General features: G+C 39.4%; 1 long non-coding RNA gene across 1 annotated transcript in view, besides 2 other annotated features; it reads right to left on the reverse strand.

The window, feature by feature from the left end:
• LOC124900610 (uncharacterized) overlaps positions 1 to 22,696 on the reverse strand; it is a 170,779-nt gene that overhangs the window by 58,415 nt on the left and 89,668 nt on the right. Inside the window, exon 2 of the long non-coding RNA XR_001742671.2 lies at positions 16,990 to 17,082. This is a non-coding gene — a long non-coding RNA (uncharacterized LOC124900610). The remainder of the gene's footprint in view (positions 1 to 16,989; positions 17,083 to 22,696) is intronic.
• Positions 17,938 to 18,483: an enhancer, noted in NCBI's record as "OCT4-NANOG hESC enhancer chr5:61339008-61339553 (GRCh37/hg19 assembly coordinates)". NCBI's record gives its function as "activates a minimal SCP1, AML or CMV promoter by ChIP-STARR-seq in naive H9 embryonic stem cells {active_cell/tissue: H9 hESC(naive)}" and the evidence as "EXISTENCE:reporter gene assay evidence [ECO:0000049][PMID:30033119]".
• Positions 18,484 to 19,028: an enhancer, noted in NCBI's record as "OCT4-NANOG hESC enhancer chr5:61339554-61340098 (GRCh37/hg19 assembly coordinates)". NCBI's record gives its function as "activates a minimal SCP1, AML or CMV promoter by ChIP-STARR-seq in naive and primed H9 embryonic stem cells {active_cell/tissue: H9 hESC(naive and primed)}" and the evidence as "EXISTENCE:reporter gene assay evidence [ECO:0000049][PMID:30033119]".

Below are 22,696 nucleotides of genomic sequence, written 5' to 3' on the forward strand. Positions count from 1 at the left end.
CATTTAGCCCGTTTACATTTAAGGTTAATATTGTTATGTGTGAATTTCATCTTGTCATTATGATGCTAGCTGGTTGTTTTGACCGTTAGTTGATGCAGTTTCTTCATAGTGTCGATGGTCTTTACAATTTGATGTGTTTTTGCAGTGACTGGTACCAGTTTCCATTTCCATATTTAGTGCTTCCTTCAGGAGCACAGGCCTGAAGGCAGGCCTGGTGGTGACAAAATCTCTCAGCATTTGCTTGTCTGTAAAGGATTTTATTTCTCCTTTGCTTATGAAGCTTAATTTGGCTGGACATGAAATTCTGGGTTGAAAATTCTTTTCTTTAAGAATGTTAAATATTGGTCCCCACTCTCTTGTGGCTTGTAGGGTTTCTGCAGAGAGATCCACCATTAGTCTCATGGGCTTCCCTTTGTGGGTAACCCGACATTTCTCTCTGGCTGCCCTTAACATTGTTTCCTTGATTTCAACCTTCATGAATCTGATGATTATGTGTCTTGGGGTTGCTCTTCTAGAGGAGTATCTTTGTGGCATTCTCTGTATTTCCTGTATTTGAATGTTGGCCTGTCTTGCTAGGTTGGGGAAGTTCTCCTGGATAATATCCTGAAGAGTGTTTTCCAACTTGGTTCCATTTTCCCTGTCACTTTCAGATACACCAATCAAATGTAGGTTTGGCCTTTTCACATAGTCCCATATTTCTTGGAGGCTTTGTTCGTCCCTCTTTATTCTTTTTTCTCTAATCTTGTCGTCTCGCTTTATTTCATTGTTAATCTTCAATCATTGATACCCTTTCTTCTGCTTGAAGGATTTGGCTATTGATACTTGTGTATGCTTCATGAAGTTCTCATGCTATGTTTTTCAGCTCATCAGGTGATTTATGTTCTTCTCCAAACTGGTTATTCCAGTTAGCGATTTGTCTAACCTTTTTTCAAGGTTCTTAGCTTCCTTGCATTGGGTTAGAACATGCTCCTTGACCTCAGAGGAGTTTGTTATTACCCACCTTCTGAAGCCTACTTCTGACAGTCCGTCAAACTCATTCTCCCTCCAGTTTTGTTCACTTGCTGGCGAGGAGTTGTGATTTTTTGGAGGAGAAGAGGTGTTCCGGTTTTTGGAATTTTCATCCTTTTTGCACTGGTTTTTCCTCATCTTCGTGGATTTATCTACCTTTGGTCTTTGATGTTGGTGACCTTCGGATGGGGTTTCTGTGTGGTTGTTCTTTTTGTTGATGTTGATGTTATTCCTTTCTGTTTGTTAGTTTTCCCTCTAACAGGCCCCTCAGCTGCAGTTCTGCTGGAGTTTGCTGGAGGTCCACTCCAGACCCTGTTTGCCTGCGTATCACTAGCAGATGCTGCAGAACAGCAAAGATTTCTGCCTGTTCCTTCCTCTGGAAGCTTCTTCCCAGAGGGGCACCCACCAGATGACAGCCGGAGCTCTCCTGTATGAGGTGTCTGTCAACCCCTGCTGGGAGGTGTCTCCCAGTCAGGAGGCATGGGGGTCAGGGACCCACTTGAGGAGGCAGTCTGTCCCTTAACAGAGCTTGAGCACTGTGCTGGGAGATCCACTGCTCTCTTCAGAACCAGCAGGCAGGAACTTTTTTTTTTAATTTTATTATTATTATACTTTAAGTTTTAGGGTACACGTGCACAATGTGCAGGTTTGTTACATATGTATACATGTGCCATGTTGGTGTGCTGCACCCATTAACTCATCATTTAGCAACAGGTATATCTAGTAATGCTATCCACCCCCCCCAACCACCCCACAACAGTCCCCAGTGTGTGATGTTCCCCTTCCTGTGTCCATGTGTTCTCATTGTTCAATTCCCACCTATGAGTGAGAACATGCAGTGTTTGGTTTTTTGTCCTTGCGATAGTTTGCTGAGAATGATGGTTTCCAGTTTCATCCATGTCCCTACAAAGGACATAAACTCATCATTTTTTATGGCTGCATAGTATTCCATGGTGTATATGTGCCACATTTTCTTAATCCAGTCTATCGTTGTTGGACATTTGGGTTGGTTCCAAGTCTTTGCTATTGTGAATAGTGCTGCAATAAACATACGTGTGCATGTGTCTTTATAGCAGCATGATTTATAATCCTTTGGGTATATACCCAGTAATGGGATGGCTGGGTCAAATGGTATTTCAAAAGCCAAAATTGACAAATGGGATCTAATTAAACTAAAGAGCTTCTGTACAGCAAAAGAAACTACCATCAGAGTGAACAGGCAACCTACAGAATGGGAGAACATTTTTGCAACCTACTCATCTGACAAAGGGCTAATATCCAGAATCTACAATGAACTCAAACAAATTTACAAGAAAAAAACAAACCCATCAAAAAGTGGGCAAAGGATATGAACAGACACTTCTCAAAAGAAGACACGTATGCAGCCAAAAAACACATGAAAAAATGCTCATCATCACTGGCCATCAGAGAAATGCAAATCAAAACCACAATGAGATACCATCTCACACCAGTTAGAATGGCGATCATTAAAAAGTCAGGAAACAACAGGTGCTGGAGAGGATGTGGAGGAAAAAGGAACACTTTTACACTGTTGGTGGGAGTGTAAACTAGTTCAACCATTGTGGAAGTCAGTGTGGCAATTCCTCAGGGATCTAGAACTAGGCAGGAACTTTTAAGTCTGCTGAAGCTGCACCCACAGTTGCCTCTTCCCCCAGGTGCTCTCAAGATCATTTTTTATTTATCGGTCAGGTAAAGAACAAATCGCTTAATGGTGTACAATGTTGGTGAGAGTGTGAAAAACAGGCATTCCCATACGTTTTTTATTGGAGTGTAAATTGGTACAAACTCTACAGAGTATACATTGGCAGAATATGTCAAAAGAATACACTCACATACCCTTGCTTTAGTATACTACCTCCAATAATTTATTCCACAGATATATGACACATGCAAAATGATGTATATACAAGAGAACTAATTGTAGAATTGCTTGTAAAAGCCAAAAGATTGGTAATTACCTATCAATAGATAAATGGTTAAGTAAAATATGTAATTCCACAAAGATGTATTGCTAAGATATATTGTTTTTTAAAAGGTACTTACTAGTGTATATGGGAAGATATTGTTTGAATGTTTAAAAGCCATTGTAAAAGATGTTTTTATGTATTTATTTGAATATATTTATTATATCTCTAGAATGATGCACAAGAAACTGTTAATTTTGGTTGTTTGGGGAGTTATCTCTGGGTGGCTTAGGATAAGGGTGAAAGGGAGAATTTATACCTTTTGAATTTTGAAAATATATTATAAAAAACTGTTTTAGACATCAATTTTTAAAAATAAAAGTATAGTTAAATGAGATCCTCAGCTTCAATTACAGTTTAGAAACTCGTATAAATCAAATTGAACTGGGAATCTTTCTCCTGAATGTTTCAGTTTTCAGTCGTGGCTTCATCTTTCCAGGTTCTACCTTTGAGCTTGAGAAAGCACACTCTGGTGTGTCATCTTCAACCTTTGCTGGCTTTTTTTGAACCAGCCCATGGAGCAGATCCTTTGCATACAGCGGAGGAGACCTCTATGTGGGTCTCTTCCATTTACCTCCCATCTCTGCTAGTTTCCTGGCTCTTCCTTTCTTTGTTGGTATTAAAATCTTCAAGTTTATTAATAACTCAAATCGTTTTGTCTTAGAATTTTTAACTCCTGCAGCTTCCTTCACAGCCCCCAATATCTCATATCTGTCTACTCCTGCTAATCCTAGAAAAGGGCTTAGATTGCCTTTGCCCTGTCTCCAAGAACCCAAGTTTCCTGCATCTGCCAGAGCAAGAGAAAGACTACAGTGATTAGCAACTTTTCACGTACCTGTGGATTCTCCCAAGACAAGCCCATCCCCATCCCCAAGAATAATTGCTTTCAAGCTCATCATGGTCTCCCTTCTTTCTTCCAGAAAGATGCCTTGGGATTATGTCTCCTTTTTCCCAGACAAACTTTTAAAACATAATCAAAATATAACTAGGTTTTAAGATAGACTTAAGGTAACAAAGCCTGACTTATACATATGTGCTAGAGTTAATTACAGTAGTCCCCACTTATTGGTGGTTCGCTTTCCACAATTTCTGTTACCCTAGGGTCAACAGGAGTCTGAAAATATTAAATGGAAAATTCCAGAAATACACAATTCATAAATTTTAAACTGCATGCTGTTCTAAGTAACATAATGAACTCTTGAGACATCCTGCTCTATCCTGCCTGGGATGTGAGTCATCCATTTGTCCATCAGATCCACACTGTCTGTGCTACCATTAGTCATCTTCATTGTCTGCTCCTGACATCCAACCATTGACATAATCATGGTCAATGATACGGGATCACCCAAGGCAGGTGATCCTCCTTCTGACATATGGTCAGAAGGTCAGTAGTAGCCTAACACTATGTCACAATGGCTACATCATTCACCTCACTTCATCTCACCATGTAATCTTTTCATCATCTCACATCATCACAAGAAGGGAGAGTACAGTACAGTGATACTTCTGAGAGAAAGAAAGAGAGACCACATTCACATAACTTTTATTACAGTACATTGTTACACTTGTTCTGTTACTATTAGTTATTGTTATTAATCTCTTACTGTGCCTAATTTATAAGTTAAGCTTTATGATAGGTATGTATAGGAAAAAACATAGTAAATATTGGGTTTCGTACTATCTGAGGTTTCAAGCATACAATGGGGGTCTTGGAACATATCCCCCTCAGGTAAGGCGGAACTACTGCACATATGTTATCATTTTGAGGGAAAACAGAAAGCTTCTCCACTCTCAAAAAGAACATTTTCCACACTGTTGTCCTAAATCCTAAAATTCTGCCATTATTCATGCACTCTATTGTGTTAGCATTTCCTTCTCTCTGAGGGCACTGTACTTTAACAGGAGTTGCATACTAGGTTCCCAAATGCATTAGTATGAGTGAGTTTATCAATCCTTTTTTTTTTTTTTGGACAAGTGATCAGATGGTTTCAAAGTACAATAACAGACAGTATTTGTTGTCTATTAACTGTCTATTGCTGCATAATGAATTATCCCACATCTTAGCAACCAAAATAGCTATACTTATCTCAGTTTCTGTGGGTTAGGAGCTGTGTGTGGCTTAATTGTCCTTTAGGTTTTCTTGTATGCTACAATCAAGGTCTTGGCTAAGATACAGGTTTCTCAAGGCTCAATTAGGGAAGGATCCACTTCCAAGCTCACGTAGTTGTTGGCTGGATTCAGTTTCTCCAGGTTATTGGGCTGACAGTGTCAGTTCCTCTCTGGCTGTTGGCCAGAGACACATTCATTTCCTCTCCAACAAGGCAGCTTGCTTCATTAAATCATGCAAGATGAAGACAAGAAAGAGATTCTGCCTGTGTGGAAGTCACCATTTTACAACTTAATCATGAAAGTAACATCCACTGGTTAAAATCAAATCACTCAGGGGGAAAGGATTACACAGAACATAAATACCAGGAGGCGGGAGTCATTGGCCACCATCTTGGAAGTTGGTCTACCATACACATTTGATTTACTCAGTACTCACCTACTCATGATAGGATGCTAGAGGTACAGAGTTCCCAGGTGTGAGCAATTCTCAATCTTCTGTGAGGAAACCTATTTTAGAGAAAATCCACAAGCCTCCTTTATTCAATACAATTTCTACTCTTCCCTTATGGAAGAGCCCTACCCCTCATTGACTAAGAGGTAATAATGTGGGGAAGTCTTTGTTCTTCCATTATCCCTATCCTATCTCTGGTAAAAGGTACTAATAAGCAGCAAAATCACTCTAAAATTAACAAGTCAAAGAAAGTAGAAAATAAGGGCTGAATAATCTATTGCCTTGATCATCAACCCTTAAATAGTCTACATTGACTGCAATACATATTAACCCTTCAAAGAAATGACTGAGAGCCAACCAGACCATCTCAGCCCTGCCCAAAGAAACAATACTGTGAGAAAGAAAACAAATAAATAACAAATTGGTGATTTTCATCATCATCAAGTCCTTTATCACATACATACCTAGCTACTAGTGGCACAGACTGTTAAATTTTGAAAGTCAAAATTAAATCTTCGGATCAATCTTCATTCTAGCCAAAAATAATATGTTGTAATTCAGGACTTCCTCTAAGTTTTTATCATTCAAGGTAACACACCCATCAGAAAAATAAGTTGTTGATGTTGTTTCTGATACTTTAATAATTTTAATCAACAGTTTTTCTTTAGATAACAAAAGCCATGCCTCAGATGGGAGTATCAAAAATTTAAAATATATCATATTTGTACTTCAACCCATATAATTTTTAAACTTCTCTGTGTAAATGACATAATCTTCTAAAGTCTTTCTTTTTCTCTACATGTGTTATAACAAGACTGGAATTAGGGTGTTTGTTAATCCTTTTCCCCTAGAAGTCACAAAATGTTCACATACTCTCTTTTTTATTTTTATTATTATACTTTAAGTTCTGGGGTACATGTGCAGAACGTGCAGGTTTGTTACATAGGTATACATGTGCCGTGGTGGTTTGCTGCACCCATCAACCCGTCATCTACATTAGGTATTTCTCCTAATGCTATCCCTCCCCTAGTCCCCCACCCCCGACAGGTCCCAGTGTGTGATGTTCCCCTCCCTGTGTCCATGTGTTCTCATTGTTCAACTCCCACTTACGATTGAGAACATGCAGTGTTTGGTTTTCTGTTCTTGTGATAGTTTGCTGAGAATGATGGTTTCCAGCTTCATCCATGTCCCTACAAAGGACATGAACTCATCTTTTTTATGGCTGCATACTATTCCTTGGTGTATATGTGCCACATAGTCTTTATCCAGTCTATCACTGATGGACATTTGGGTTGGTTCCAAGTCTTTGCCATTGTGAATAGTGCCACAATAAACATACATGTGCATGTGTCTTTATAGTAGAATGATTTATAATCCTTTGGGTATACACTCAGTAACAGAATTGCTGGGTCAAATGGTATTTCTAGTTCTAGATCCTTGAGGAATCACCACACTGTCTTCCACAATGGTTGAACTAATTTACACTCCCACCAACAGTGTAAAAGCATTCCTATTTCTCCACATCCTCTCCAGCATCTGTTGTTTCCTGACTTCAATGATCATCATTGTAACTGGCATGACATGGTATCTCATTGTGGTTTTGATTTGCATTTCTCTAATGACCAGTGATGAAGAGCATTTTTTCATATGTTTGTTGGCCGCTCAAATGTCTTCTTTTGAGAAGTGTCTGTTCATGTCCTTGGCCCACTTTTTGATGGGGTTGGTTTTTTTTCTTGTAAATTTACTTAAGTTCCTTGTAGATTCTGGATATTAGCCCTTTGTCAGATGGATAGATTGTAAAAATTTTCTCCCATTGTGTAGGTTGCCTATTCACTCTGATGATAGTTTGTTTTGCTGTGCAGAAGCTCTTTAGTTTAATTAGATCCCATTTGTCAATTCTGACTTTTGTTGCCATTGCTTTTGGTGTTTTAGTCGTGAAGTCTTTGCCCATGCCTATGTCCTGAATGGTATGGCTCAGGTTTTCTTCTAGGATTTTTATGGTCCTAGGTCTTACATTTAAGTCTTTAATCCATCTTGACCAGATTTTTATATAAGGTGTAAGGAAGGGGTCCAGTGTCAATTTTCTGCATATGACTAGCCACTTTTCCCAACACCATTTATTAAATAGGGAATATTTTCCCCACTGCTTTTTTGTGTCAGGTTTGTCAAAGATCAGATGGTTGTAGATGTGTGGTGTTATTTCTGAAGCCTCTGTTCTGTTCCATTGGTCTATATATCTGTTTTGGTACCAGTACCATTCTGTTTTGGTTACTATAGCCTTGTAGTATAGTTTGAAGTCAGGTAGCATGATGCCTCCAACTTTGTTCTTTTTGCTTAGGACTGACTTGGCTATGTGGGCTCTTTTTTGGTTCCATATGAAGTTTAAAGTAGTTTTTGCAATTCTGTGAAGAAAGCCACTGGCAGCTTGATGGGGATAGCATCGAATCTATAAATTACTTTGGGCAGTATGGCCATTTTCACGATATTGATTCTTCCTATCCATGAGTGTGGAATGTTTTTCCATTTGTTTGTGTCCTCTCTTATTTCCTTGAGCAGTGGTTTGTAGTTCTCCTTGAAGAGGTCCTTCAAATCCCTTGTAAGTTGTATATTTTATTCTCTTAGTAGCAATTGTGAATGGGAGTTCACTCATGATTTGGCTCTCTGTTTGTCTATTATTGGTGTATAGGAATGCTTGTGATTTTTGCACATTGATTTTGTATCCTGAGACTTTGCTGAAGTTGCTTATCAGCTTAAGGAGATTTTAAGCTGCGACAGTGGGGTTTTCTAAACATGCAATCATGTCATCTGCAAACAGAGACAATTTGACTTCCTCTCTTCCTATTTGAATACCCTTTATTTCTTTCTCTTGCCTGATTGCCCTGGCCAGAACTTCCAATACTATGCTGAATAGGAGGGTGAGAGAGGGCGTCCTTGTCTTGTGCCGGTTTTCAAAGGGAATGCTTCCAGTTTTTGCCCATTGAATATAATATTGGCTGTGAGTTTGTCATAAATAGCTCTTATTATTTTGAGATCCATTCCATTGATACCTAGTTTATTGACAGTTTTGAGCATGAAGGAGTGTTGAATTTTATTGAAGGCCTCTTCTGCATCTATTGAAATAATCATGTGGTTTTTGTCATTGGTTCTGTTTATGTGATAGATTGCATTTATTGATTTGCATGTGTTGAACCAGCCTTGCACCTCAGAAATGAAGCCAACTTGATTGTGGTGGATAAGCTCTTTGATGTGCTGCTGGATTTGGTTTGCCAGTATTTTATTGAGGATTTTCTCATCGATATTCATCAGGGATATTGGCCTGAAATTTTTTTGTTGTTGCTGTGTCTCTGCCAGGTTTTGGTATCAGGATGATGCTGGCCTCATAAAGTGAGTTAGGGAGGATTCCCTCTTTTTCTATTGTTTGGAATAGTTTCAGAAGGAATGGTACCAGCTCCTCTTTGTACCTCTGGTAGAATTTGGCTGTGAATCCATCTGGTCCTGGACTTTTTTTGGTTGGTAGGCTATTAATTATTGCTTCAATTCCAGATCTTGTTATTGGTCTATTCAGGGATTCGACTTGTTCCTGATTTAGACTTGGCAGTGTGTATGTATCCAGGAATGTATCCATTTCTTCTAGATTTTCTAGTCTTTTTACATAGAGGTGTGTATAGTATTCTCTGATGATAGTTTGTATTTCTGTGGGATCAGTGGTGATATCCCCTTTATCATTTTTTATTGTGTCTATTTGATTCTTCTCTCATTTCTTATTTATCAGTCTGGCTAACACTCTATCCATTTTGTTGATCTTTTCAAAAACCGGCTCCTAGATTCATTGATTTTTTGAAGGGTTTTTCATGTCTCTATCTCCTTCAATTCTGCTCTGATCTTAGTTATTTCTTGTCTTCTGCTAGCTTTTGAATTTGTTTGCTCTTGCTTCTCTAGTTCTTTTCATTGTTATGTTAAGGTGTCAATTTTAGATCTTTCCTGCTTTCTCTTGTGGGCATTTAGTGCTATAAATGTCTCTCTACACACTGCTTTAAATATGTCATAGAGATTCTGGTACACTGTGTCTTCGTTCTCATTGGTTTCAAAGAACAACTTTATTTCTGCCTTCATTTCGTTATTTACGCAGTAGTCATTCAGGAGCAGGTTGTCCTGTTTCCATGTAGTTGTGCGGTTTTGAGTGAGTTTCCTAATCCTGGGTTCTTATTTGATTGCACTGTGGTCTGAGAGACTGTTTGTTATGATTTCTGTTCTTTTGCATTTGCTGAGGAGTGTTTTACTTCCAATTATGTGGCCAATTTTAGGAAAAGTGTGATGAGGTGCTAAGAAGAATGTATATTCTGTTGATTTGGGGTAGAGAGTTCTGTGGATGTCTATTAGGTCTGCTTCGTCCAGAGGTGAGTTCAAGTCCTGAATATCCTTGTTAATTTTCTGTCTCGTTGATCTGTCTAGTATTGACAGTGGGGTGTTAAATCTCCAACTATTACTGTGTGGTAGTCTAAATCTCTTTGTAGGTCTCTAAGAACTCACTTTATGAATCTTCGTGTTCCTATATTGAGTGCATATATATTTAGGATAGTTAGCTCTTCTTGCTGCATTGATCTCTTTACCATTATGTAATGCCCTTGTCTCTTTTGGTCTTTGTTGGTTTAAAGTCTGTTTTATCAGAGATTAGGATTGCAACTCCTGATTTTTTTGCTTCCCATTTGCTTGGTGAGTATTCCTCCATCCCTTTATTTTGAGCCTATGTGTGTCTTTGCATGTTAGATGGGTCTCCTGAATACAGTACACCATGGGTCTTGACTCTTTATCCAATTTGCCAGTCTGTGTGTTTTAACTGGGGCATTTAGCCCATTTACATTTAAAGTTAATATTGTTATGTGTGAATTTCATCCTGTCATTATGATGCTAGCTGGTTGTTTTGCCCATTAGTTGATGCAGTTTCTTCATAGCGTCGATAGTCTTTACAATTTGGTATGTTTTTGCGGTGGCTGGATCTGGTTGTTTCGTTCCATATTTAGGGCTTCCTTCAGGAGCACAGGCCTGAAGGCAGGCCTGGTGGTGACAAAATCTCTCAGTGTTTGCTCATCTATAAAGGATTTTATTTCTCCTTCACTTATGAAGCTTAATATGGCTGGATAAAAAATTCTGGGTTGAAAATTCTTTTCTTTAAGGATGTTGAATATTGGCCCCCACTCTCTTCTGGCTTGCAGGGTTTCTGCAGAGAGATCTGCTATTAGTCTGATGGGCTTCTCTTTGTGGGTAACCTGACATTTCTCTCTGGCTGCCCTTAACATTTTTTCCTTCATTTCAACCTTCGTGAATCTAATGATTACGTGTCTTGGGGTTGCTCTTCTAGAGGAGTATCTTTGTGGCATTCTCTGTATTTCCTGAATTTGAATGTTGGCCTGTCTTGCCAGGTTGGGGAAGTTCTGGATAATATCCTGAAGAGTGTTTTCCAACTTGGTTCCATTTTCCCTGTCACTTTCAGGTACACCAGTCAAATGCAGATTTGGTCTTTTTGCATAGTCTCATATTTCTCGGGGCTTTGTTCGTCTCTCTTTATTCTTTTTTCTCTAATCTTGTCTTTCCGCTTTATTTCATTAAATTGATCTTCAATCACTGATATCGTTTCTTCTGCTTGATGGATTTGCCTATTGATAATTGTGTATGCTTCATGAAGTTCTTGTGCTGTATTTTTCAGCTCCATCAGGTCATTTATGGTCTTCTCTAAACTGGTTATTCTAGTTAGCAATTCGTCTAACCTTTTTTCCAGGTTCTTAGCTTCCTTGCATTGGGTTAGAACACGCTCCTTTACCTCAGAGGAGTTTGTTATTACCCACCTTCTGAAGCCTACTTCTGTCAATTCAATTAATCAAACTCATTCTCCATCCAGTTTTGTTCCCTTGCTGGCAAGCAATTGTGATCATTTGGAGGAGAAAAGGTGTTCTGGTTTTTGGAATTTTCAGCGTTTTTGTGCTGGTTTCTCCCCATCTTTGTGGATTTATCTACCTTTGGTCTTTGATGTTGGTGACCTTCAGATGGGGTCTTTGAGTGAACGTGGTATTCTTTCTGTTTGTTAGTTTTCCTTCTAATATTCAGGCCCCTCTGCCCCAGGTCTGCTGGAGTTTACTGGAAGTCCACTCTTGACCCTGTTTGCCTGGGTATCACCAGTGGAGGCTGCAGAACAGCAAAGATTGCTGCCTGTTCCTTCCTCTGGAAGCCTCGTCCCAGAGGGGCACCTGCCAGATGCCAGCCAGAGGTCTCCTGTATGAGGTATCTGTCAGCCCCTACTGGGAGGTGTCTCCCAGTCAAGATACACGGGGGTCAGGGACCTACTTGAGGAGGCAGTCTGTCCATTATCAGAGCTTGAACGCTGTGCTAGGAGAACCACTGCTCTCTTCAGAGCCATAAGGCAGGGATGTTTAGGTCCGCTGATGCTGTGCCCACAGCTGCCCCTTCCCCCAGGTGCTCTGTCCCAGGGAGATGGGGGTTTTATCTATAAGTCCCTGACTGTGGCTGCTGCCTTTTTTTCAGAAATGCCCTGCCCATAGAGGAGAAATCTGGCAGTCTGGCCACAGCAGTCTTGCTGAGCTGCAGTGGGCTCTGCCCAGTTCCAACTTCCTGACTGCTTTGTTCATACTGTGAGCATAAAACCACCTACTCAAGCCTCAGCAATGGCGGATGCCCCTCCCCCCACCAGGCTTGAGCATCCCAGGTAGATCTCAGACTATTTTTGTGCTGGCAGTGAGAATTTCAAGCCAGTGAATCTTAGTTTGCTGGACTCCATGGGGGTAGGACCCACCGAACCAGACTACTTGGCTCCCTGGCTTCAGCACCCCTTTCCAGGAGAGTGAACAGTTCTGTCTTGCTGCTGTTCCAGGTGCCACTGGGGTATGGAAAAAAAAAAACAAACCCTCCTGCACCTAGTTTGGTGTCTGCCCAAATGGCTGCCCAGCTTTGTGCTTGAAAGCCAGGGCCCTGGTGGGGTAAGCACCAGAGGGAATCTCCTGGTCTGCGGGTTGCAAAGACCATAGGAAAAGTGCAGTATCTGGGCCGGAGTGTGCATGGTTCCTCAGGCTCAGTCTCTCACGGCTTCCCTTGGGTAGGGGAGAAAATTCTTCCTCCCTTTGTGCTTCCTGGCTGAGGTGACACACCACCCTGCTTTGGCTCACCCTCTGTGGGCTGCACCCACAGTCCAACCAGTCCCAATGAGATGAACCTGGTACCTCAGTTGGAAATGCAGAAATCACTGCCTTCTGCATCAATCTCACCGGGAGCCTCAGACCAGAGCTGTTCCTGTTGGGCCATCTTGCCAGCAATCCCCCACATACTCTCTCTTGCTAGAGGCATACAGTATTATCTTTACTTTTCAGATGAGGAGATAACTAGCTAGTTAAGTGCCTGGAGCAGAGCCATACAGTGAGTGAGGGAGAGAGAAAGGAGGAATTCCATCTGAGTTCAGAACCCAAGGTGTGGGCAGAGATAGGCTGGCTGGCTAACCCAGCCAGCACAGATAAAAACTCAATAAAGGCAGTGTTCATTTTGGATAGCAAAAGTTGTGTCTTGGGGAAATAATTGGACCTACATGATTTCTGCTTCTCCTCTTTGTAGCTTCTGATCATTTCTCCTTCATTCTAATGCTTGGATAACTTGCAATGAGCTCAAATCTTTTAGCTTCAGGTCATCTTTCCACACCCATTACCCCCACATTAGCTCCCTATCACCAAAAGTGTGGCTCTACGTTACCATCCAATAGATGTTTTTGTCCCACAGTCTGATCCCCCAAAGATGTATTATTATTCTAAAAAAGTTATATCAGCCCATTCCAAATTCTATTGAAAGCTGACCCCCAGGTCCCTCAAGCCAAACCACACAAAAAGATTGTTGCAAAACAGTAGCTGCTATTGCCTCCACATTCAGGAGAAAGAGGGGAACAGTATGTTTTAAAACATCAAACCTGGGCACTGCATAAGGTGTGATGGTGTGATCTCATCTAAATAGCTCTCAATTTAACTTGTGACAAGATGAAAATTCAGGAGATTCTTTTCATTTCCCAAAGATATACTTATTCTTTGAGGACATATTCATGGTTTGCTTTTCCATAATCATTTCTGACATATTACTTATCAGACTCCAAGTTCCCTCAAAGAAGGGAATTAAATAGTCAGTCTCTATTAGAAATGCTATGAACGACCAAACAATTTTAAGAGCCTTTCTCTAGATATCACAAAAAAATACGCTATAGAATCATTGCTTCACAGTTTAGAAACTTACAAACTCTAATTATTAACATAACTGAATACATAAATAAGACAATGATTACAAATCAATTATTATCTGTATAAAACAAAAGTTGTGCTATTCCTTGCACATAGACAGCATCTTTTAGTAATAAGAAAAGATCATTTCTATTCACTTTCACACAAAGGTGCACACACACAGACCCAAACACTTACAAATCTCAAGCGGATTGAACAAAAACTCCTTATAGAAACTCTTCAACATACTTTTGCAGAGACACCTCTAAATTGAAACTATGGTTTTATATAGATACCACCTAGTGGCCCAGAAATAAGGTATCCACCAAAAGAGTTATACTAAGAAATAGAGAACAAGTTGTATAATCTAAGTGGTACTAAGAAATAGAGAATACACCATTTGCAGCATTATCAAATCTGTCTTTACCTGAGTAACTCTTCCCTGCCCTGATATTTTCTGCATTCCAGAAGGAAACAGAGAAAAACTGTAGTCTTGTCTCTTAGCAGTTCATTTTACAAAACAGGGGCTCCTCCCCCATTATGTGAAGATAATTTGTGGCAAAGCTAGTTGTAGCCCAGCTCTCCTAGTGTTTTTGTGAACATTTGTGGGACCTAGATTAGGAGGGAATCTTTGTCCAGTGTCATCTTCTCAATGAGGCCAACTTCACAACACTTACATCTAATGCCCCAACATCTAACATCCTATATTTTGCTGTTCTTTCTCTTGCTTTCCATAGCACTTATCTTCTATTAAGCTGGATAATTAACTCATTTATTTGGTTTATTATTTACTGTTTGCCTCTCCCACTAGAATCTAAGACCCACAAGAACAGGGATCTTAGTCTGCTTTCTCTACACATATATCCTGAGTGTCTGGAACAGTACCTGGAAATATCGGCCCCCAGTAAATGCTTGGTGACAGAATAAATGGAAGATGATTTGCAAATGACTTACATTTAGCAGTTCTTATCTTCTAGCTTCTGGTTTGAAACCAAGCACCATGGTCCAGGGTAAAGAAAAGATAATACTGCTGCCACTCTAACTCACTGCTTGCATCTCTTGAAAAAAACTGTAAACTCTTTGATGGGTTAAAATCACTCAACCGAGGGGAAAGTGGAAGGTACACAGAAAAAGTGAGGAAGGAAGTAGCCAGGCAGAGAGGGAGAAGAGAGTCAAATCTAGCTCTCCTACTCCTTATTCCTGCCAGGGGTGAGCTATCTGTACTTCCTATTACTTGGTTGTTTTCCCTTAAGATAAAGAATGTTCGCTTTTGAGAAACCTGTTAGTAGCAACAATCACTATTTTAAAAAATAATTAAAAAAAATAGTAGAACCAAAGAAAAAGTGATGGTGGGGGCTTAAAGGCAGGTAGACATTTTTTTTTCCAATATTTTTCTGTAAATGTGGAGAAGGATAAGCAAGAAATATTAAAATAAATATGAAAGTGAATAAGGTAACATTCTCTTATGGGTGTAGTAATATGAGGTAGACCTGAATAGGCATTTATGATTCCTCAATTTGTGTATCATTTATAGGGTTTTAGAAACATGATCAGGCCAGGCGCAGTGGCTCACACCTGTAATCCCAAAACTTTGTGAGGCACAGGCAGGTGGATCACTTGAGCCCAGGAGTTCCAGACCAGCCAGGGCAACATGGCAAGACCACATCTCTACAGAAAATACAAAAATTATCAGGGCACAGTGGCACATGCCTGTAGCCTAGCTATTCGGGGAGCTGAGGTGGGAGGATCACTTGACCCCAACGAGGTCAATGCTGCAGTGAGCCATGATCATGCCACTGCACTCCAGCCTGGGTGACAGAGTGAGACCTTGTTTCAAAAAATAATAAGAAAAATAAAAACATGATTATGTGTTTTTTTCTTCTTTTATTAAAATAACAAAGATTAGCAAATGCCTCAAATAATATCAAATACAAACTACCCCTTCCTTGCCATGTCCAGTACAGTGCCAACCACAAGTAAGCACTTAGAGTTTGTAGTTGTAATTACTATGAATGAGTTAATAAAGAATAAAAAAACTGTAGGAGAACATAGAAAAAAGGAGAATGTTAAGTAAATGCACTGAGATTCAACTGGGAAATGCAAAGGAAAACAAGAAGAAGGGGAAGAAGTAGGGTGAATTACAGAAATGAGAGGCAAATAAAAGATTATCCAGCAGTTCTTGTTCAAATAGTTCGAAAGACTAAATCCTTCAAACATCACTCTCTATGTGGAGATAATCCTTGAAAGGATGATAAGTGAGCAAGAAAAATGGGGTGAGCCTAGAAAATTCTTTCAAAGCTCAAAAGCCAAATTTTATGGAAGAAAAATCATTTGATGTAGATGGTCTGGGACTTTTTATTAAGTGCTGACAAGAGCTGTTGCCCTTACAGCTAACAACACTCAGTCCATGATTTATTCAAAGAGCTGGTGCAGCAGAGACACCAGCAACATGCACTCCAGGCTGCCCAGCACAGACTCTCAGTCCACACTGGAGGACTACCTCCAGCGCTAATATCATCGTTTATCATTTCCTCCTCACTGAGCTGCCTCCTTGGCTGTAGGGCTAGCAGTGGCTAGGATTAGTCAGCTATCTTGCTTTTGAAAATCTGTAGTTCAAGGTAAAAAGACACGCGCTTTGCAGCTACCTGTGCACAAAGGTGCTAATCTAAAATGACACAGGCTTTCCAGCCACCAAACAACTTTCTGCAGGGAACCCAGGGGCTATCTTGGTCCTGCGAAGGAGAAGGTTACCTGCTAAGTCACTGTGCAATGATCAATTCTCAGTTGTTCCCTAATCTTCCTGAACTTGGCCCTGACCTTTTACCTTATCCAGTCACTTTTAAAGGACAGTTAGAAAATGAGCAGAAAATTGGAGGTAGTACTTCTAGGCCTCAGATGAGCCAATCTTTACTTTTATTTACTCCAAGAACTACTGGTTCTGTGGTTATTTCTTTTCCTTTGTTAAAAAAAAAAAGCACAATATCACTTGTGTGTACTTTTAACTGAAAAACCCAATCGTTTATTTTTCTTCTAACTCTCAGAAATGCATCTTGTGTGTGAATAAATCTGAGCTCTGATCTGACCTTTATCTTTACAATATAACACGAGTACAATAATAATTTATAGGCCTCAGTCCTAAGTGTGACATTTCAATGAGCTGGGTAAATATCATTACCTGAAGCCAGCAGCAGCAAGGATGCAGACCAAGAGGTAGCTGGGTGAGTACATTTTCCAGAAGAGGATCATGAATTTGATGGTAGGTACAGTCCTGAAACCAGCAAAGATTTCACTCTTCAGAGTTGTGTTCCTTAACAATTGACAACGGTAAAAACAAAATCCAAGTTGGGGGTGCAGGAGAAAAGGTTTTCATTTAGCTAAGGAACAAGAAAATCTCTATTCCTAGTTAAGTCAGGTTGATTGACTACTGAACAGCCCAGATGCATGAATAATTGTCCAGGCTTTTCTGCCCTTCTCTGTGCTTGTCTAGGGAAGGTCAAGGAAGCCAGACTTGTTATAAATGGAACAGAATCCCCCAGGGATTTGGGGGTTAGAAAAGGGAAAAATTGAGCAAGAAGGAGCAAGGAAATGGATTGATGGTTCTGCCTGTCTTCAAAGCCCAACAAATATGTAAATCATGGAACATATTTGGCATCCAATCTCACTCTACTCTGGGAAGGCAAAGGTATCCATGGCCATGAGTAAAATTCTTAGTTGCCAAGAGAGCCAAATGCTCTTTCTTCCTACCTTCCCAAATTCCCATCACTACTTGGGTCTAACTTTTTTAGACAATGTATCTTGCAGAGATTTCATGAATAGCCTGAACAGGTATTCATGAAACTTCTCTGAAAAGCAAAGCTTCTAGACTTACAAGAAACGTCTCTGAAAAGCAAAGCTTCTAGACTTATAAGAAATCCCTCATTTATACTTGCAAGAGGTTGCTTACCTGTCCAAAAAAAAAAAAAAAAAAAAAAAATTGTAAGTGCACCCTCTTGGCACAGCTAGCACTCTTCAGATTCTTTTTCATGCAGAAGAAAGTGTGGAAACCTTTCAGCTAGCTGAAACTATTTAACAGCTACATATATATTTTTTTCTCCTACGTTTGCCTATTTTCATTGGATCACAAGAGCCACAGCTACACACCCACACTGCCCACTTCTTGTCAGTTTATTCTGTCCGCAGCATAGAATGACATTTTCCATGTAACTCATCAAAATGAAAAACAGAAAGCAAATTCACAAAATAACCAAAACTCTATTTGAAAAAGAATGAAAAAAAAAAAAAAAGATTGGCTCTGATAGAATTTCACACTTTAATAAGAAAATAAGGAAATTGCTCTCCCAGGGACTAAACCATTTTTATGTTGTAGAAAAACACCCTGGGTTCAGAGGTTTTCTCCTCTAGGCAATCTCTGCCCCCCACAGTTTCAAACATCATGCCTTGCTAAGTTTCAGCAATATCTTGGCCAAGTTCTCCTTTGTATTGGAAGAAAAAGTTTGTTTTTTTGTGAAATGCATTCATACACTTGTCTTGCCCACAACCCATAGATTAAATACACACACATATCACTTGCTGAGAGTTCCAGCTGTTTAGATTTTCACCCAAACATGTGAATAAAAACCGCAGGCAAAACAAGTACTGTCTCTCATACCTTTTAGGGATTAACAAATAGCCCTTACCCTGCTGATGCCCGTTCTTAATTGGACTATGCTGTGAGGAGCAATTAAGCCTAAATGGCCACTTGCTGAGAGCTGGTGAAAGAAATGCTGCAGCTTGAGGCATTTGCATTCTCCAAATAGAGCACATATGCTTTGCTTTGGTGCCCATAAAGAAAGGAGATTTACTTATTTTTTTAGTGCTTTTAAAAGTGAAAAGGGCCATTGTTTCATGCACAACGTGGAAATTATTCAAGGAAATTTTTTAGACATATATAATTTTTGCAACTTTTGTGCAAATCAGAGAAGCAGAGATGGAAGCTTTGTTCCTCTGTAAAACAGGGCAGCAACTGTGCAAGAAAGGCTTCTTCCCTCCCTCCAATCCACTGTGTGTCTCTATCAGGCGTGCAAAGGACAGATCAGTACCAGCAAAATGAAGCAGAAAATGACACAATTCCCTGGACATCAACAAGCCATCACCTGAATGGTATGTAACTGGGGAAGAGAAGTTCTATTAAAAAATATTCAGAGACATTATCTTTTCAAGACATTTCCCTCTTGAAAATGGAGAACAAAAATAAATAGATTAAAATAGGACTGACCTGTCCCTTTCAGCACAGAAAGGTAATTGCTAGCACTCCCCAAGACATTCTTCTACCGCACAGACATGAATTGCTGGCCTCGGCTACTGATATTTGTATTGTTTCTATTATCGTATGGACAAGGGGACAAAGGAGATAAGTTTGAATTTTCTCCTGAGTTACATGAAGAACCATTGAAAAGATTTCATTGTTGGCCGGGCACAGTGGCTCACACCTGTAATCCCAACACTTTGGGAGGCCCAGGTGAGCAGATCACTTGAGGTCAGGAGTTCAAGGCCAGCCTGACCAACATGGTGAAGCCCCATCTCTACTAAGAATACAAAAATTAGCCAGGTGTGGTGGTGGCCTCCTGTAATTCCAGCTACTCAGGAGACTGATGCAGGAGAACTGCTGGAACCCAGGAGGCAGAGGTTGCAGTGAGCCAAGATTGTGCCACTGCACTCCAGCCTGGGCGACAGAGCGAGACTCCATCTCAAAAAAAAAAAAAAAAAAAAAAAATTCATTGTTGCTGTTGCTTTTCATGTAGAAAAGAAAAGCAGATTAATTGCTTTTGTAAATGTTATATTCATCATTATTAAAAAAAAATAAAAAAAATAAAAACCTTAAGTGAACAAGGGGAAAAAAAAAAGAAGAAAAAAAATTACAAAGTCATCTACCCCAAAAGATCCATCATTTATCATTCTGTGAACACCATCTCAAACATCTCTGTATGTACATATATAAATAGAAGAAACAGGGATATTTCATCAAAACCAGAATCATTGTATAAAAGCTACATATTTTTTAAGTGTTCAGTTTTATTTTGCTTCATTTTAACACAAAGAAAACCCGGTAATCATTCAACAGGTTATTCTTGCCAACAGCACAGATAAAGCCAATTAAATGAGATAGTGGTAGTGCAGTAGAGAAAGAGTTTAATAATCACAGGGCCAGCCAAGTCTAAGGGCAGGAGTTATTACTCAAATCAGCTCTCTCCAAAGGTTTAGAGGCTAGGGTTTTTCAAGGACAGTTTCGTGGGCAGGGGCTTAGGAATGGGGAATGTTGATTTCTTTGGTTGAGGTGAAATCATAGGGGGTTGAAGCTGTCTTCTTGTGCTGAGTCAATTCCTGGGTGGGAGTCACAATAGCAGATCAGCCAGTTTCTTGGTATGGGTTACCAGTCCAAGTGGCACCAGCTGTTCCAACAAAATGTAGGGTTTGGAAAATACCTCAAACACCAATCTTAGGTTTAACAACAGTGATGTTATCTATAGGAGCAATTGGAGAGGTTATAAATCTTGTGACCTCTAGCTACATGACTCCTGAACCATAATTCTAACCTTGTGATTAATTTGTTAATTTTACAAAGGCAGTTTTTGTCCCTGAGCAAGGAGGAGTTTAGTTTCAGGAAGGGGCTGTTTTCATCTTTGTTTTAAAGTTTAAACTATAAAATAAATTCTTCCTATAGTTAGCTTGACCTACACCCAGGGATGAATAAGGGCAGCTTGGAGGTTAGAAGCAAGATGGAGTGAGTTAGGTTAGGTTTCTCTCATTGTTATAATTTTTGCAAAGGTGGTTTCAACCCTATAATAATACTGATAAACTGCTGAACTTCAGAATAATTTTTCTCCCCAACAAATTATTCTAAAAGGAACATTGTTTATTTACCATTTTCAAGTGAATTAATTCAGACTTTTATAATGATCAAAAGGCAGTGAGTTCACCTTTCTTCTCTGAACACATGCATAGCAATGACAGATGAAAAATTTTTTAACTTTTATTTTAGGTTCAGGGGTACTTCATGTGCAGGTTTGTTATACAGGTAAATCGCATGTTGCAGGGGTTTGGTGTACAGAATATTTCATCATCCAGATAATAAGCATAGTACCCAATACATAGGTTTTCAATCCTCACTCTTCTACCACCCTCCACCCTCAAGTAGGACCCAGTGTCTGTTGTTTTCATCTTTGTGTCTATGTGTACTCAATGATCAGCTCCCACTTATAAGTGAAAACAGGCAGTATATGCTTTTCTGTTTCTGCATTGGTTTGCTTAGGATAATGGCCTCCAGCTCCATCCATGTTCCTTCAAAGGACATGATCTCATTCTTTTTCATGGCAGTATAGTATTCCACGGTTTGTATCTAACACATTTTCTTTATCTAGCCTAGTATTAATTGGCATCTAGGTTGATTTTATGTCTTTGCTATTGATAGTAGTGCTGCAATAAACATGTATGTGCATGAATCTTTATGTTAGAATGTATATTCCTTTGGGCATATACCCAATAATGGGATTGCAGAGTGGAATGGAAATTTTGTTTCAAGTTCTTTCAGAGATCACCAAACTTCTTTCCACAGTAGCTGAACTAATATTCATTCCCACTAGCAGTATGTAAGTGTTACCTTTTCTCCACAGCCTTGCCAGCATCTGTTATTTTTAGACTTTCTAATAATTGTCATTCTGACTAGTGTGAGATGGTGTCTGGTAGTTTTAATTTCCATTGCTCTAATAATTAGTGATATTGAGCATTTTTTTCATATGCTTCTTGGCTGTTGTTCTTCTAAAACATGTCTGTTTATGCCCTTTGCCAACTTTTTGATGGGGTTGTTTTTTTTCTTATAAATTTGTTTCAGTTCCTTATAGATTGTGGATATCAGACCATTATCGGATGCATAGTTTGCAAATATATTCTCTCATTCTGTATCCTGTCTGTTCCCTCTATTGATAGTTTCTTTTGCTGTGCAGAAGCTCTATAGTTTCATTAGATCCCGTTTGTCAATTTTTGGTTTTGTTGCAATTGGTTTTGGTGTCTTTGTCATGAAATCTTTGCATGATCCTATGTCCAGAATAGTATTGCCTAGGTTATCTTCCAGGGATTTTATCACTTTTGGTTTTACATTTAAGTCTTTAATCCATCTTGAGTTGATTTTTTTTTTATCATGTAAGGAAGAGGTCCAATTTCAATCTTCTGCATATGGCTAAGCACTTACCCCAGCACCAATTATTGAGTAGGGAGTCTTTTCCCCATTGCATGTTTTTGTTGACTTTGTTGAACATCAGATGGCTGTAGGTGTGAGGCATTATTTCTGGGCTCTCTATTCTGTTCCATTGGTCTATGTGTCTGTTTTTATACCAGTAACATGCTGTTCTGGTTACTGTAACCTCGGAGTATAGTTTGAAGTTGGGTAATGTAATGCCTCCAGCTTTGTTCTTTTTGCTTAGGATTGCCTTGACTGTCCAGTCTCTTTTTTGGTTCCATATAAATTTTAAAATACTTTTTTCAAGTTCTGTGAAGAATCTCAGTGGTAGTTTAATTAGAATAGCATTAAATGTATAAATTGCTTTGGGAAGTATGGCCATTTTAACAATATTGACCCTACCTATTCATGAGCATGGACTGTTTTTCCATTTGCTTGTGTCATCTCTGATTTCTTTGAGCGGTGTTTTGTAATTCTTGTAGAAATCCATCACCTCCCTGGTCAGCTGTATTTCCAGGTATTTTAGTCTATTTGTGGCAATTGTGAATAGAATCGCATTCTTGATCTTGCACTCAGCTTGGATGTTGTTGGTGTATAGGAATGCTACTCATTATTGAACATGGATTTTGTGTCCTGAAACTTGGCTGAAGTTGTTTATCAGGTAAAGGAG

Source organism: Homo sapiens, chromosome 5, assembly GCF_000001405.40.
Source record: "Homo sapiens chromosome 5, GRCh38.p14 Primary Assembly".
NCBI lineage: Eukaryota > Metazoa > Chordata > Mammalia > Primates > Hominidae > Homo > Homo sapiens.